General features: G+C 38.1%; 2 annotated features.

Moving 5' to 3' along the window:
• Positions 11841-13040: an enhancer, noted in NCBI's record as "MED14-independent group 3 enhancer chr2:213708156-213709355 (GRCh37/hg19 assembly coordinates)". NCBI's record gives its function as "activates an origin of replication core promoter dependent on BRD2, BRD4, P300/CBP and CDK7 cofactors, and independent of MED14, by STARR-seq in HCT116 cells {active_cell/tissue: HCT116}" and the evidence as "EXISTENCE:reporter gene assay evidence [ECO:0000049][PMID:35650434]".
• Positions 12313-12607: an enhancer, noted in NCBI's record as "tiled region #6440; K562 Activating non-DNase unmatched - State 24:Quies". NCBI's record gives its function as "activates a minimal TATA promoter and a strong SV40 promoter by Sharpr-MPRA in K562 cells {active_cell/tissue: K562}" and the evidence as "EXISTENCE:reporter gene assay evidence [ECO:0000049][PMID:27701403]".

The raw sequence follows: 17236 nt of genomic DNA, 5'->3' as shown, positions 1-17236 counted from the left end.
AAGTACAAAGGCCCTGAGGCGAGTGTGCCTGGCAGGAGTGGTTGGAGCAGTGTAATCATTGGGGAGTGGTTTCTCAGTTGGCCATGGGCAGGTCAGAGCAGAATCTTTGAAGCCACTAGGACTTTTTTTCCCAAGTGATATAGGATGCCATGAAGTTTTGTTGAGCAGAACAGTGAAATAAACTGATCTATGTTTTAACCAAATTGACTTTGCTGTTGTGTTGAGAATAGATTAACAAAAAACCCAGAAATTAGATTTTGAGGAGAAAGGATAAATATTGAAATAGTCATTTTGGAAAGTGGGGAGGCCAATTGAGTTGCAATGTGTAATAGGATTGTTGGAGCACCATGAACCCACTTCAGGTGGTGGTCACACATTTCAAGTCACAGAAGTCAGGATGGTTACGTGTTTTGTCAATTCATGTCCAGCTTCTCATAGCCAAGCACAAAACAAACAAAAGTTGAATTCAATGAAGGTGGCGTTTTGTCAGGCAAGTATACAATAAAGAAGAGAGGCAGCAGTGTTAGGGGACTGTGTGAGGCTGTCAATATCACGATGGATCATATTTTAATACATTGGGTGAGCAGGGAAGTGAGAATGTGAAAAGGATGAAAGACAGGCTAAAGTTGCTAGGATCTCTTTCACCACTAGAATGACGCGTCTTTGGATGGTGTATGAAAGAGATGAAACTGAAAATAAACAAAAAGAGGTGGTCACAAAGTGGGATATTTCAAATGGAGGTTGTTGAGATCTGCACTAGGCAACAGTAGGATCTAGGATATAACCTGGGAGAAGGTGGCTGAAGGAGGTGGAAACAAAATCACTGGACATCAGGAGGTCAAGGCACTGAGCATGAGGATAATAAAAGGATTTTCCACAGTGTCAATCGACATGGATATCACAGTCACCAAGAATGATCGCAGAGTACTGGTGAAGGGTCAGTGAGCTACTTGCTACATTTTCACAGAATGAGGAGATGTGACCTCAGTGTCCGCAGATGATTTCAATAAGATGGGGGTATTGATAGGAGTTTGCCACATGGCATGAACTTCAAAGAGCAAGGATTTTTGTGTGTGTGTGTGGAAAGAGGTAATACTAACTTGGAAATATCAACAAGCAACAAAGGAGAGTGTCTACCACATCTTCTGATTTGTGAGATAAAAAAAAGAAACATTTCACCATGTTTAGAGACTACAAGGAAAGCACTATTGGAAGTGCAACCAGGTTTTAATTATAGGAAGAAGGTAATGGACACACTTAAAGAAGAATTAAGATGAGTTATCAGGAATTCCAGAGAGCCCACTGGAAGGATTTGAGGGAGAGGGGAGGAGTGGAAGGTGGTTCCAGATTAGGGGATGTTCAAAGCAATATGAAAGAGTTCAGGTGACGGGAGACGAATTGTAGCTCTTGGGAGTGAATGAAGTAAACAGGAATGTCGGGCATGATGGGTTTAGTCCTGAAATAAGATTTTGCTATCTGCAGAAAGGATTACTCAGCCCCCTCACATGTCGGGAAGCCTCCAGGGAAGTATGGAAAGGTGAGAAGGAGGATTTAAGAGTTGGTCATAAAAATGCCAAACAGGAAAGGTTTAGATTTACTCAAAATGCCTGATTACTTAACACAGAGCTGCATTTTCAGTACTGCAATTTACTAGTAGAACCCTGGAGTAAATGGTCCAAATAAACTTACCATAATTATGATGACCTTCATATTATCACCAGGTATTGAGTGTTCATCATGCTAAGTTATTTATATCTACTATTTCATTTAATTTCACAAACAGCATTGTAAGTTGGTACAATATAATCTCTATTTCGTAGTTGAAAACAAAAAGTCAGCCAAGGTTTGAACTTAGAGCTCTCTGACTCCAAAGTTAATGTTGAACAATGGTGAGGGTATGGAATTTTGGAAGAGTTTTGGGTAGAGATGAAGTGAAAGTCTGGTTTTGGCACTAAATTCAACTCCACAAATATCAAGTGTCCATATTTCAGCAGTGCACTGAAATGAGAAAGATAAAAAAATCTTGGTCTTAGAGAATCTTGAAATCTATTGGACAGAATGAATACAACAAAATTACAGTCCATTATGACTTATGCAAAGACAAAAATGCTCCTGTCCAGACAGAGTTAATACAGAGGAAGAAATGCCTAACCCTGTATCAGGAAGGTTTTCAGGGATGAATCAGAGTTGTCTAGGCAGACAAAGTGTTAACATGATTAAAGACACAGGTGGATTCCTTAGGCTTGAATAGAAAGAGAGGCCCAACATTTTCAACATTTCAGAGGGAAAAAGGAAGAATTAGTGAAGATATAGTCATGTGTATGGAGGGGGCAATGAAAAAGCTAAAGAAAAACTGTACCTTGGATTTATATAAATTGTATAATCTTTCACATAAAAGCAGTGACTGATAAGAAAAAAATTAGAACTGTCCAGAGCTTCTCATATCTGTAATCATCACAAGTAGGTCTTATCCCCATTATATAAATGACAAGGAAAGAGACAGACGTCCAAATATATTTGACTCAAAAGTCCATGTGCACTCTGCCTCCCACAAAGGAGAATCACAAATATATACCACATTGCGTATAATTCATTTGGCCAAGTTAGGAACAGTATCAACAGAGAAGAAGCTGGGAAAGAAAAAAAATAAAAACAAAAAATGAGTCACATAAGGATACAGAAGGATTCTATAGGTAAAGACACAGATTGCCAAAAATTCTCATTCATCATCATGAACACTTAGCCTAATTTGCTTAAGTGCCAAGAATACAAACAGGCTTAGAACATCCTCTATATCTTGTGTTAGAAATCGACTATGTATGTGAAAATAATTTGTTTATTCATTCATTATTTCACAAAAATATATATGTATATGTTTATTTAGGAGTTAATATGTGCTGGACCAGCTGCTGGTCACTGTGAAATATAAAAATGAATAAGACAGATTGCCTGCCCTGCAGGAACTCACAGTTAAGTAAAGGAGACACAAACAAACAAGTCATAGATATATGGAAAATACTCTAAGAAAGTTCTTAGCTTGAGGGACACTTCATACAGGCTTCAGAGAGAGAGAAAAAAATGTGAGTTTTCTGGCAAATGGTAGATGCTCCAAAAGGCTATGGCTCTAAGTGTTGCCCAGTGGATGTGTGTAGAAGGGAGAGTGTCTGGTAACTTTTTGGTTTCTGAGTTTTGGCCTAGTCAACTAGAACGTCAAAAAGGAGGGATGTGGGTATGTTTATGTTTACCTACCCCAAGTGATCTTCTGAAGAGACAAAATTGGGAACCATGAGTTAAGACAGTGGCTTTTAACCACAGGTACACATTAGAATCATTCAGGGAGCTTGGAAAAAGTGCTGCCTTGGCTCCATTCCAGTCCCATTCAGCTAGAATCTCTGGAGGTGGGTCTCATGCACTAATATTTTTAAAACACAGCCTAGGTAATTCTAATGGTCAAAATGGAAACCCTTGAGTTAACAGGATTCACAGGGAAAAGGATAGTCAAAACAGGAGGCTAAGAAACAGCACAAATGAAAGAGGAGCCCTAGACCTGATGGGAGATGCAAGAAAAAATGTGTTGTAACACTACAGAGCCCTCTTAAAAACATGTGGTCAACTGTTAAATGTCAGAGAAACATCAACACGGTCACTGGACTTGAGAATCAGAAAGTAGCTAGTGACCCTGATGAAAAGAGATTCAAAAGATAGTGGGACAGAAGCCAGATTACAATGGATTGAGACCTGAATGAAGGAGAGAAAGTGAAGAAAGAGTATAGATTATTCTTTCAAGAAACTTGCTTTGAAAGGAAGAAAGAGAAGGTGAGAGTTTGAAAAGGATGAAAAGTTGGTTAATAAAAGATAATTGGTAAAAGCTGGAGAACCTGAGACCTAGAGCAAGTTAGGAGAAAACTAAGTTCTTCCCCTAGGAAAAGGCTTATAGAAGGTTGTGGATATAGAGAAGTTTATACCTTAGGGGCAGGAGGGAAACCTGAAGGAACTCATGACCTATGAAGCCAAAAAGTGGTTGATAATTCAAAGAAGCTAAGGAGAAGGGAACTGAACTAAAGGGGAGATACAAAGGCCTGCTGAGTGCAATTAAGGACATCACCTTACTAAGAGACATTAAAATGAACTAATTGTGCATCTTTATTCAATACATTTCTGAAATATGGGTATAGAAGCTAAACACTGGATAAATGAATTGGTTTGAGATAGGTGAATTATGGGATAAGTAGAGCAGACAAAAGTTAGTACTATCAGCATTCTTCTCTTGTAATATTAGGTACCATATGAATGATAACAGAAGTAATCTTCCCAGAGCCAGCGCAAGAGGGAAAGTCTTCCTGGGAAAACATGATATGGAGAAAAGGAGAGTTAAAATTTTAGGCTTAAGAGAAAGCAGCTCACCCCTGTAATCCCAGCACTTTGGGAGGCCAAGGCCGGAGGATTGCTTGAGCCCAAGAGGTTAAGCCTGCAGTGAGCCATGTTTGCGTCACTGCACTCCAGCCTGGGTGAGAGAGTGAGGGACTCTGTCTCCAAAAAAGAAAGAAAGACATAAAAAATTGTCAACTTCAGTGCCAATGGTGGTAGTGCTCAGACCACAAACACATCAGTTAAGCTGGCAACAGTGACCATTTTGATTAGAGTAGTCCACTTATGAGCATAGAAGAGAGGAAATAGGCAAGGCCCAATTGTTGAAGGGCCTTGGGTGATGGAAAAAGGAGAGCTATACTGAATTCTACCCTAATGAAGAACCACTGTTTGTTTTTGATAATGGAAGGTGGTGTGCAAAGGTGCATTTTAAGGGGGTTAATTTGGCAGCAACCTGTATTGTGCATCTGCATTTTAGAGTTGGCCTAAGTTTAGTTTTTTGGTTTTTTTTTCTGGCTTTCATTATTGAGCTTCTCTTATAATTTATTCCCCCATTTTCCACAATTTTCATTATTTAGCACCTCATAGATTGTTCTCAAACTTAATTCCCTTTGCCTTCTCTGCCTCATTCCACAACTATGGAAATTTTCTCCTCCTTAGGCATTGGTCCTGCTTCCATTTCTATTTATCAGCTGGGATTTTTTCTATCCTTTTAAAACTCCCTCTTCCCTCCTTCATCCTCCTAATGCAGGTTTCCACCTGGACCCTCCACTCCTCTTTGTCTTCTTCAGTGGGCATTTTCCCTCTATGACTCAACCACCACCTCTATACAGGTGACCTGCATGTCTATACCTCCAGCCATTACTGCTATCCTGAGTTCCAGACCCAAATTTTCAAATTCCTATGATAAACCTGCACATGCATTCCCCATGTACCTGAAACTCAGTGTTTCAAAAATGGAATTATCATATTACCCACAACGTAATAGTTTCTTTTCATCTCCAGGAAATTTTTCTCTCTTCTTAAAATTTTGTGTCTCCTAATAACATTGTATCTGTGTTGTTATAGTAGTCTCTTAATTGACTTTCTTGATTCTGGTTTCTCATTGCTTTGATTTGAGCTATACACCTTTGTATAGGAAAAAAACAACTGTTTTTCTCTATATTCACACTCCATGCATCAGTGACCAAATGTGGGATTTTCCCCACACCGAGCAATTCTCCAATTCTCTGCAGACACCAACTCTATGTCTTATAATCCAATTCAATTCTGACACCAACCAGAGTTAGCACAGACCCTATGGTTTACGAACTCAGTTTCACAAGACTTTCTTCTACTCTTCAGGTGCCAACTGCAGTTAGTAAGTCCCCAGGTTACCTACGACTTCTATCTGACTTGGCTACAAATTGGATGTTCCCATGACCCTCTCCTCAGATTTGATAATTTGCCAGAGCATCATTTCACAGAACCCAGGAAAACAGTTTACTTACTAGTGTTAATTTATTGCAAAGGGTATTTTAAGGATACAGTTAAACAGCCAGAGGAAGAGATATTTAGGTCAAGGTCTGGAAGGGCCCCAAACATAGAAGCCTCTGTGCCACACTCTCCCAGCAGGCAGATGTGTTCTCCAACATGTAAGCTCTCTGAACCCCATAGTTTAGTGATTTCTATGTCGACTTCATCACATAGGCATGTTTGATTTTTAATCTCCAGCCCTTCTCTTCTTCCCAGAGGTTCGGGTGCAAGAGCTGAATGTTTCAAGCTTCTAATTATAGTTTGGTGTTTCTGGTGATCAGCCCATATCTAGGAGCCCACAAAAATTGCCTCATTATAATAAATGATGCTCCTATCAACCAAAAAATCCTAAAGGATAGAAGCTCTGTGTCAGGAACCGGGTCAAAGACCAAATATTAGGACAAAAGATACATCCAGCACCCCTACTGGTCAGGAAATTACAAAGGTTTTAGACACTGTATGCCAGAAGCCAGGGGCAGAGACCAAACATTTAATTTTTGTTATGTCACAAGCTTACCAGATAAATCTTCCTGAATCGGAATTTGATTCATATTCTCCAGCTGGCCCTATCCTTAGCCTTCCTGGCCTCTCAAGCTTTAATGGACCTTCCATTGCTCATTGATTCAAGTCCAAAAGCTTAAACTTCTTGACCTTTGCAATCTGTCCCCATCTATTCCTCAAATCATTTGTTCTTCAGTAGCAATAATATTTCTGTTGATCTTCATGATTTTCTGCACTGTTTTTGTGTCCTGAATTGAGTTCTATTAACCCCTCATCTTCATTTTATTTGCTTGTTTATTTAGTAAGTAAATAGTTTTCAACATCTCCTGTAGTTCTAACAGGAGGTAAGTGATTCCCACTTGATAATTTACCTGCCTTACAGGTAATGCATTCTTTGTCTACCCCAAACACAAGCTGCTCCATCTCCACACCCAACTCCCAAACATGACAGTTTCCTGAAGGTAAATGTGACCTTGCTCATAAAAGTGCACTTCTTTTTATTTATAAAAATATTTTTTTATAAGAGACTATGCTCTACTAGTACTTTTTGGTCAACTTTTTTTTTTTTTTTTTTTTTCCTTTCTTTAACATAGGCTTTCTGGGCGGGTAATCTGTGAGGCAGACAAGCATGTCACTACCTTCTTACAGAAATTACTGCACACATAGTGAATGGTATACTCTGGGGCCTCTCCTGGCTTCTTACCCTTTCTGCTTGCACAATAGTTCAGTCTCTACTTTCCTAAGTATGAAAGAACTTCCTTATGTGTGCATGTATTTGATGCCCAAGGCCCTATTCTTTAGCTAGAATTTTAAAGCTGGCTCATGCTTCTGTGTTATGTGAAGAAATAATTAAGGATGCACCTACGAGGATTTTGTACTCTGCAGGGTCCGGAAAGAAAGGAAGTGCTCTGATGGAAGCCCTCCTGGGTCTGGACACCTTTCATTGCACCAAGGCTGTTGTCCTCCAAGAGTTTTATATTAAACTTTCTTTTATCCAGCTCCGCTGGTTGCTTTTCTAATCATCTGAGTTTTAATAAATATAATTTCCCTTGTTTGTTCTGCCTGTAAAATACATTTTTAACAATTGTTTGAATTTTACACTTAAATATTTATTTTGGCCTAATTCTTTCTACTAAATTTTAAACATTGTTTAAATTATCACCTTTTCTAGAAATTACATGTAGCTTCCTGAGAATTTTAAAAGAGAATAAGAACAAAGTAAATATGAACTAATTTGCAAAACACCAGTTGATATTGTAACTTTTTATGCATAAGTGTCTTTTTCTTCCTTTCTAACATGATTGAAAGCTTCATGTGGGTAATCACCAATCATATTTTATATATTTTTTTGTATCCATCACTAGCACCTAATAGGGCCATGGAGATAGTAGACACTCAGTAAATATTTGTTGGCTTTTTGGTTCAGAAACACAATCAACCAGTGTTTTGAAAATGGACTTTTCATAACCTTCAGCTTCAAATAAATCATACTAATTTATTGATCTTAGAATTTAACCAAACCTCATTTTTTTTATTGCTTCCTAGAACAAACTTTTGGTTCTCTCCAACTCTCCAAATTTGAATGAAATTCTGTTGGTTTGATCTTGACTGTTATCTAGATCTCCACATGTTAATAGGAACGAAGTGTTAACTTGCCCGAATTATGAATGATTTCATCTAGTACCATACAGCTAGGAAATCATGAATAATCTTGTCCCTTGAATTTATAATAAATACATTTCAACTATCTTCTATATAGAGGCTTATCTGCAATTTTTAGAGATCAGACTAAAGCTACAGGCTCTTTGGGGTGTATCTGTGTACTTTTAAAATGTTTGATTAGGGAAGTTACTCAAAAAATGTATCTCTTTGCTAATAAATAAAAGTATAATAATGAATCCTGAAGGGAAAAATTGGAGATGAATTTAGAATGTTGTATATGCAATTGAAATTTTGAGTTAATAATTTAGGTAATATTTTAAGGCAAATCACTTGAAAAGTCCACATGAAATCCATGTCAAATAATTGTTAGGAAATAGAAAATGTATGTTAATATGCATGACATCTTCATGAAACCAAGTCATTTTTTTCTGATCTACTCTGAGCTTCAGAATGGGGACAAGATTTAAACTTCAGAATCTGAAGAAGCTTTTTAAAAAGCAAAAAAAGTTTGCATGAAAATTTTATTTAACTTAAAGTTCAATCAATATGAAATAATATTCATTGCAAGTAAGTCAAATCATAAATATTGTAAAGCCTCTGCTAATCCTGTGCTTGCTGCCATAAAGCAGACATGAAAAATAAAATAAAAAGGCAAATATTTGTTCTCATAGTTTATTCCTATTAAAGGAAAAAAATTTTTAAACAATAAAAAGTGAAATAATAAAAAATATCCCTCAAGATTAAAAACAGAAGACATATCACAGGGCAATATTTATTTGCAAGCATATTCTTTGATCTAGTCCTGTGTTTAACCATATGTCATTCCCTTCTTTTTTACCTCCCTCCCTTCTCTCCCAAAACATGGCTGAGCATCTTCTGCATGTCAGGCTCTGCGCAGGGTATAGGGTGACAAGGAAGAACAAAGCCCAGCTTCTGACCTCAAATGCAAAGCATAATTAAAATCTCCAAGAATCCTCATTTGACAGCTCAAACATCCAAACACCAAGAGCTGGAGGAAGGGGGTTGTCTCTCCTCACTAATGATCATTGGGTTCTTAGAGGACTTTTAGCCCCACCCATGGTGTCTCCCAGTCATCAAACCTGTTGATTATGGGATTGTAGCCTGCCCTATACATCTATACTGGACATCTTCATGGAAGCAAGTCAATTTTTCTAATCCAGCCTCAGCTTCAGAACGGGGACAAGATTAAAATGAAATGAACTATTTAGGAGGCAATAGGGGCATTACTTATGTAGCATTACTAAATAAGACTAAGAGGTTAAGTCAGAACTCAAACTTTAGATTATGTTGTCTCAAGGTCATTTTCATTAGTCTAAAATATTTTGAACTTCACCACTCAAGTGTTGTTACTCTCGAAGTCTTGGGAAAACAATGTGGATCAACAAGACTTAGAATTAAATGAAGGAAAATCTACTGTGGGTAAGGAATGTGTATCTTAAGGGAAATAATGGTACTCCCTAAAGTTACCATGACCTACAAGTAAAGAAATCATATAATTCCTGGCACACAATAAGTGATCAATAAAAATTATCATTAAGGAAAATATCTATGTATAGCTTTCAGAAGACAGATGTGGGGAACTACCTTCAAAGATATTTCCATGCCAGTGTCTGTGGCCCAGTCTGAGGAGACAGGTGTCCTCTTATTTCCACGCCCAGGTCAGTGTTTATATGTGGGAGGGGTTTCAAGAGATTATTGTGTTTCCATTTTTTGACTTTTATTTCAGGAATGGTACGTCTGGCTGCCTTGTTCCTCTTGGCCCTTCTGGTTCTGGTATCATAAGTTGTATGAAAGGGAACTGAGGACTCTGCTTCTACTTTCTTCCTTATTGGAAAGATTTGCCAGGTTTACTCATTAAGGGGATGGTGATGTTCCAGGTGGGCTGCAAGGCTAAGTTTCTTTTCTTTATCTGAAATGCTTTTAACCCCTTCCTCAGATCCAGATTGTAAGACCACATCCATGGGAGGTTTGACATTGACACTGGAATCTAGAGTATTACCATTCTTTTGATTCCAGTTCCTGAAATGTTATTAAACAGATGAAATTATATAGTACTTTCTAAGCCTCTCCATAACCATCCTGTGCTGAAATAATTAAGACTTTAAAGCAATGGTGCCAGCCTAGTTCAACTCCCAAACATGGAGCTCAGATTAGAGACTGTTTGAAAAGGTGAGTAATCTTAGTGCTGGTGACTTTAAATTCTGAAGTTGCCTATGAGGAGTGTCGAGTCTGACTAAACCTGACAGTTTGCTTATTCCTTATGAAAATATTAGGTGTCAGGGCAATGGCTCAACAGAAATGACTCTCACACATTCCTTCGAGTAGGAAAAGGAAAGACAAACTGGTTCCTTTTATGTCTTAGGGATATGCGTAAGAGTCCCTGGGAGGCAAAAAGGGGTCACACAGAACAGACGAGTCTCAGCTCACAGTATTATTAATTTGAGGAAGAATGGGTTGGTAGAAAAACTTAAAACTTCGAGGAATCAAGAGTCTTAGGGAAAAAAGGCACACTTCACCCAGAAAACCGGGGCTTATTGGATGCGTGGTAAAGGGAATTGGCAAGGAAGAGACAGGCTCTGCAGGCAGGGAAGTGGACAATTGTGTATTCTTTATGGCCCCAAACCTGGTGAATGACCTTTCTTCTCTCATTCTGTAGTGTTTGTCCCTGATATACCTTCGGGCTGGCACCAGCCTACTTTAGCAAATTGTGTTAATTCTGGATTTGTGGGGCTTAAGCAATTATTACAGTTTGGGTGGAGCATCTGAGGAAACATGTTCCTTGATTTGAAGTTCTGGAATTCAAGCAATTTAGCTTGTTCTTTCAGCTAGAAACAGAAGTAGGGAATATTTCCTAGGTTCTATGTCTTCCTACTATTTTTCACTTCTATTTGTTTGTGTTTTTATTTCTATTCCAACTGTTTGACTTTATTTAGGTTTTAATGTTGTAAATGACCTCAACTTCTGTTAGGGAGTGGAGGCTAGATATAATGTGATAGAATTTCTTTTTCTTTTTTTGTGTGTGATAAGTTGTGTGGTGTCATAACTAATCTGAAAAGTTAAACAGATGTCTTTGAGGAAAGAAAACTGAGATTATGCTATAATCATTTAGTTAATATTCTGGTTGCTCAGGCAAAAATCTTAGTCATGTTTGCATCCTTTCTTTTCCTCACATCCCATATCCAAATCATCAGCAAAGCTCCAGGCTTTAATCCCAAATGTCTCCCAAATCAACCTTTTCTCACCACCTCCAGCAAAATCATCCTTGCCCAAGCCTTGAAAGAAAGTTGGGATTTGCAATGGTCTTCTAACTTATCACCTTCATTTCACTCTGCCTCCTCCCCATTCTCAACCCATAGCCAGAATGGTCCTTTTAAAACCTAAAGGATCATACGATTTTTTCATGTTTCTCATCTCTCTTAGAATAAAAACCGAAATGCTTATTATGGCCTATAAGGCTAAGGATGAAACCTGATTGATCTGAGCTAACCAGCTACCCTTTCCCAGCTTGACCCTTCTGCTACTTAAAACTCATTGAATATGACAACATACATCTACCTTGAAACATCAGGGTTTCACCCTTTTCCCTAAGTATCTTCATGACTTGGTCCTTCACCTCCTTCAGCTCTGTGCTAAATGTAATTTCCGCAGTGCCTTTCATGATCATCTGATATCTGATATCACCATACTCCTTGCCAAGCCACACTGCCTCCTTTACGTTTCTCCTAGCACTTATTAGTGCTTCACTATATTTGTTAGTCTCCCTTGTTAGCAATGTTTGTAGAGACCTTTCTCACTAGATTTATCCCCAGATACTAGTCAGTTTCTGACACATTGTATGTTTCAACAAACATCTGTTGACTAAACATCGAATAAGTTAATAATCAGGGTTAGTCTTCTACATAGGAGAAGTAGATATAACCACTGAGGCGTTCAAAAGTTGGGTCTACTCTCTGTTTACTCACCTATTTTATCTAAGTCTTATTAACATGAGGTTGCATTCCACAGTTAAGAGGAAAAATTAAATACTAGTGAGCTACCATGGTTGCTGTTCAGGAAGGGGTCCTGGACCTCTGTCAGGACAGCCATGGGACTTGTGACCAGTTGGTAAAAGTCATAATTCATATCCAGATCTGATATATAAGCCCATTACTCCATCATAGTCTACAATTTTGCCTAGGGCTAGCCATGGAAAAAAAATGCCCTTTTGTATACAAAATTATTGGCCTATTTAATTCTCTAGTGCATCAAAAGTTACGAATATACACATATCCTAATCACTGGGATTATACATAGTGAGATCATACCCAATGGGACAGATAAAATCTTTCTCCAACTGTGGCTATGGTAATTGTTTCTTTTCCTGGCCACATCATTTTGGACTTCTGGTTTGCTGACTCATTTCCTGTGTTTCATATTGTTCTTTTCTATAATGCTTTCTCACATCATGGAGTTTTACATTAATTGGAGAATATTTTTATTTGTATAGTGGTAGACCACTAGAAGTTCAGATTTTAAATACAGAGCTATCTATAGTGACTATTGCTACAGAGTCAGTCATCTGTCTTCTAAATTGCCCAGACTTTGAGGTTTTTCAAAACACTGGTGCATGTTTTTCCTTAACTATAATATAAAATGGCAATAACAATGTCTACCTAAGAGGACTGTAGTGAGATTTAAATTAGATAATACCCATAGAGCTTTTGGAAGAGTAGCTGGCACAAGGTAAGCCATCTATTGTTAATTACTATTGTTTACTTCAGTAGTAAGGTGACATTGTCTGTGTCCTTTGCCTTACTTCTCTGTATTTGAGGATGTATTTGTGTTGGGAGGAAGGGTGGGACCCTACTCTGCTTTTTGGCTGGAAAAGCAAATTCTGGATTGAATCCAATCAGCGAAATGATTCCTTTTTTGGGAGATTATGATTTTCGTGGCATTTCTGTTATAACACTATTGACTAGAGGGCTCATTTTGAGTGCTGCCTCAGCCTTCTTGGATTTTCATTTTAGACAGTTTACATTTTTTGTCTGCTATGCTGCATTTGTTTATGGGATTCAGTTTAGCTCCACAGATGTTCACTGATCAACTGCTATTGATTGGATGCTAGGGATACAATGGCAATTGATGCAATACCGCCACCTCAGAGATCTTTGCCCAATTAATTACATATGTGCCCAAATTATAATCTATAGTATCCTGGGGTTTTGCTTTTTGCCACATCTTTCTCAAGTCTGTGAACCAGGAAGCAACATCATTCTAACCTGGAAAAATCAGTGCCAGCTCACTGCTGGATTTGACTCAAATCAGCAACGCATACTCATCTAATCCCACATAGTTCCTAATGACATCAGTGGGAATTTTGAGGGTGTATCTGAGAAGAATTTTGTTCACTCTTTGCATTCTTTCTAAGTATAAGCATATGTACCCAGGAAGTTTGATGCTTATCTGTTCTTCCTCAGGCTTCAACATGCCAGCCACCCACTGCTGTGGAACTGTTGAGAACACTTGAGACACATGGTTCTTCAGAATGAGATAAACAGCTAGAAGTAATTTATAAATTATTAGATCTAAAAGGAACCCATGGAGATTATCCTGCTGCCAGGTTCTGGAATCTAGCTCAAACTATGCATTTGACTGATGAGTTACATTACCGAGGTTATAACAGATTACTCAAGGATGCCCTGTGACATCTCAAGGGTCACCCAGCTGGTTGTGGTTTAGGCAGGACTAAGAGTTGCATCTTCTTTTAACACAGTTTTCCATAACTGTGGAGTATCTGAGTACTTCAGTTCTCAACTTTTGTGATGCTGTCAGCTATTACTCTATTTATCTTAAAAGTCTCAATATTGGCAATATGACTTCCTTAAAGGCCAGAGTTGCTAAAGAATTAGGAAAATGATTTAATTTGCTATAGGTGTCTCTATGCAGTGCTTGGACTCTATGCAGTCTTTGGTGGAGAGAGAAGAGATGGGAGTTATGGAATGGTTAGTGTGTGAAGAGCTAGTTCTTTTGCAATTAAGATTCAAAAAAAGCCAAGATGGAACTGCTTCCTGATTTATATTTTGCCCAGTTAATTACATATATGCCCAAATTATAATCCAACATAACCTACAGAATTTTTCAGAAAGGAGGGACCCTTAGAGACCATTAAGTCAAAAGCTGGAAGAAAGGAGACTAACTGAATATCATCCCCTGTAGGAAGATAAGATGCTAATTTTTAGAGGCACTCAGCCTCTAAAATCAATTTTTCTTAACATTGAGAATTATTGAGTGGCTGGAAAAGCATCTTACTCTATGAAATATAGTCACTGTTTAGTGCCTTTCCATTTTATTTACTATTTAAAGCATACAACAGCTAGTTAACCAACTACTTATAAAATATATTTAATGTTTAGAGGCACTCAGTGTGGTTATAAAATGATTTTAAGGGTATACAAACATGGTACATTAACCACATTTCATGAACTATGGTTCCCTCTGGAAAAACAAAAATGTTTTCCCTGGCATCCTGCAACATCTCATCCTGAAGTTTGTAAATGGCCCATACTGCTCAAACTGGCTGCCTCACTGGCTTTTGATGCCAGCCACTTTAGAGCACACACCAGAAAGATCAATATAACCCCTACATAAGTGATAGAGCACCGTGCACTCAAAGGCTGTTAGACTCTTCGATAAAGAACGGCTTGACAGATGCAGTGAAATTAAGCAGCATGCACAAAACCCGAGTAAAGAGGTTGTAGGGCTGTAGTCTTTTTTCAGTGCACAGTGGATTGATGGGTACACCGTGACACAAGATGCACTGAGATGAGACTTGGTCCCTGCCATGTGTATGCATTAGCGAGTTTACGGTCTATGAAAACATGGAGAGAGTGTAACAAAGGATGGGATAAGAATGGAGCCTTTTTCAAAGGAACCTGCTTCAGAGAATTATGATAAGCGAGACATAAGAGGACCTAGCATAAACTTAACAGTGAGGAAATGTTCAATGCTATTTATTTTCAGGCAATATCCTAGTTCCCTGAAAACACTCTACATCACAATGTACTAATCTCTATCTTTCATTATTAAAATTCCATGGCATTGATTATTGAGAAAATGTGATGGAAATGTTGCTTTCAATTTCCCGTTCATGTAATGAAGCTGAATGTGTGATGATGTTCATTTTGTCTTGTTTACTTTGCATGTACCTCCTGCAGCATGCAGCCTGGCAGAAGGGCTTCTACCCCAGGAATATGCCACACTATAGCTGGGGAAAGGATGCAAAGACAGAGAGTCAGGGCAGCCTGGAGTAAACCCATACTTTGATTTGTCATATGGGGGGCAGTATTACCAGAAGGGGTAGTCAATGTAAAGTTCTAACCAAAGATAGTTGATGGGAAAGTAGACCAATTTCTTAACCAAAAGTTTTTTAAAAAGCATAAACTATAAAGAGTAGATAATGTTAAGGAATAAAAATAGACAATAAAAATTGTTTAGTGGGAGCTGTAGCTTACAGTGCAATGTGTTTCAGTTCTCTGGGCCACTTCAAAACGTGCTAGACGGGAGTTCCAGTTTTGGTTCAGCACGTAAGAAGCTTGGAAGTCATCACTCCATTCTAACAGTTAAAATACTGAATAAACTGAAAGGCAACAAATCTTAGATCCCTCAGAGAATTGAGAACACAGGGCAAACCATTATCCCCCGAATTGGGAACAGACTGGCAAATACAGAGAAGCACAACTTAAAGGAGAATAAACCTTGTGGGAGCTGGGTCAAGAGAGGAAAACTTAAACTGTAATTGGCTAATTGCTGAAGGCTCAGTATGAACAAACCTGAATGCTAAAAACTCCAGGAGAGCCCAGTTTTAGGTGAGCCCCATGTTTTCTAGGTTCTACTTTCAGGAGCTCTACCAGGTTCTCACAGTAAAAAGGAAAGAAATATTCCCTATCCTTTCTGCATGGAGAGGGAAAAAGCAGCCATTGTGAAATATGCTCAGATAATTCTGTTATTCCTAACACATGCTGCCCTCAAGAGAAACTATTTTGCTGGAACCTAATCTACTGGGGTTTTATCAGCACCTAACTGACATCAAAGAAGGGAAGTACCCAACTCCAGCCCCCTCTAAGCCATCCTGTCCCACTAAGTGGGGGCAAAACTTAGAAGCACTTGTGAAGATTACAGCCCAGCAATACAGCCTCATTATATGACTGAGACCTAATCACAGGACTATAGTATGCTTCTCCTCCCACCATACCTTACTACCATATAACTAAAAGATTATTTACTACAGTTCCTTTTACCTAGTACATCATGTCCCGCTTTCAACAAAAAACTACAAGGCATAATAAAAGGAAAAAAAAAAAAAACACAGTTTGCAGAGACAGAACAAGCTCAGAACCAGACTCAGATATAGCAGGGATTTTGAAATTATCAAACCAGTAATTTAAAACAACTATTATTAATATGCTACAGCTTCTAATAGAAAAAGGTAGACAACACTCAAGAACAGATTAGGTAATTCAGCAGAGAGATGGAATTCTAAGAATCAAAAAGAATTGTAGAAGCCAATAACACTGTAACAGAAATGAAGAATGCCTTTGATGGTGTGGTTAGTACATTAGACATATCTGAGGAAAGAATTAATGAGCTTGAGGATATGTCCATAGAAACTTCCACAACTAAAAAGCAGAGAGTGGAGTGATATATTTAAAATGTTCAGAAAAAAGGAAAAAAAATACCAACCTAGAATTTTGTATCTTTTATTCTTCAAAGTGAAGGAGAAGTACAGATATAGCTGACTGTATTATGCTTCACTTTATAGCACTTTGCAGATATTATGATTCTTACAAATTAAAGGTTTGTGGCAATCCTGCATTGAGCAAGTCTATCCATGGTATTTTCCCAACATGTGCTCAATTTGTGTCTCTGTGTGATATATTGGTGATTCTCACAATAATTCATACTTTTATTATTATTATTATATCTGTTATGGTGATTTATGGTCAGCAATCTTTGATTTTACTACTGTAATTGTTTTGTGATGCCATGAACTGCACTTATATAAGAGGGCAAGCTTAACTGATAAATGTCGTGTGTGCTCTGCCTGCTCCACTGACTCGCCATTCCCCCATCCCTCTGCCTCGTCTCAGGCCTCCATTTTCTCTGAAGCACAACAATATTTAAATTAGGCCAA

This window comes from Homo sapiens, chromosome 2 (genome assembly GCF_000001405.40).
Source record: "Homo sapiens chromosome 2, GRCh38.p14 Primary Assembly".
Classification (NCBI taxonomy): Eukaryota; Metazoa; Chordata; class Mammalia; order Primates; family Hominidae; genus Homo; species Homo sapiens.
Note: the sequence above shows the minus strand (reverse complement) of the source record. Positions and strands in the feature narration are given on the sequence as shown.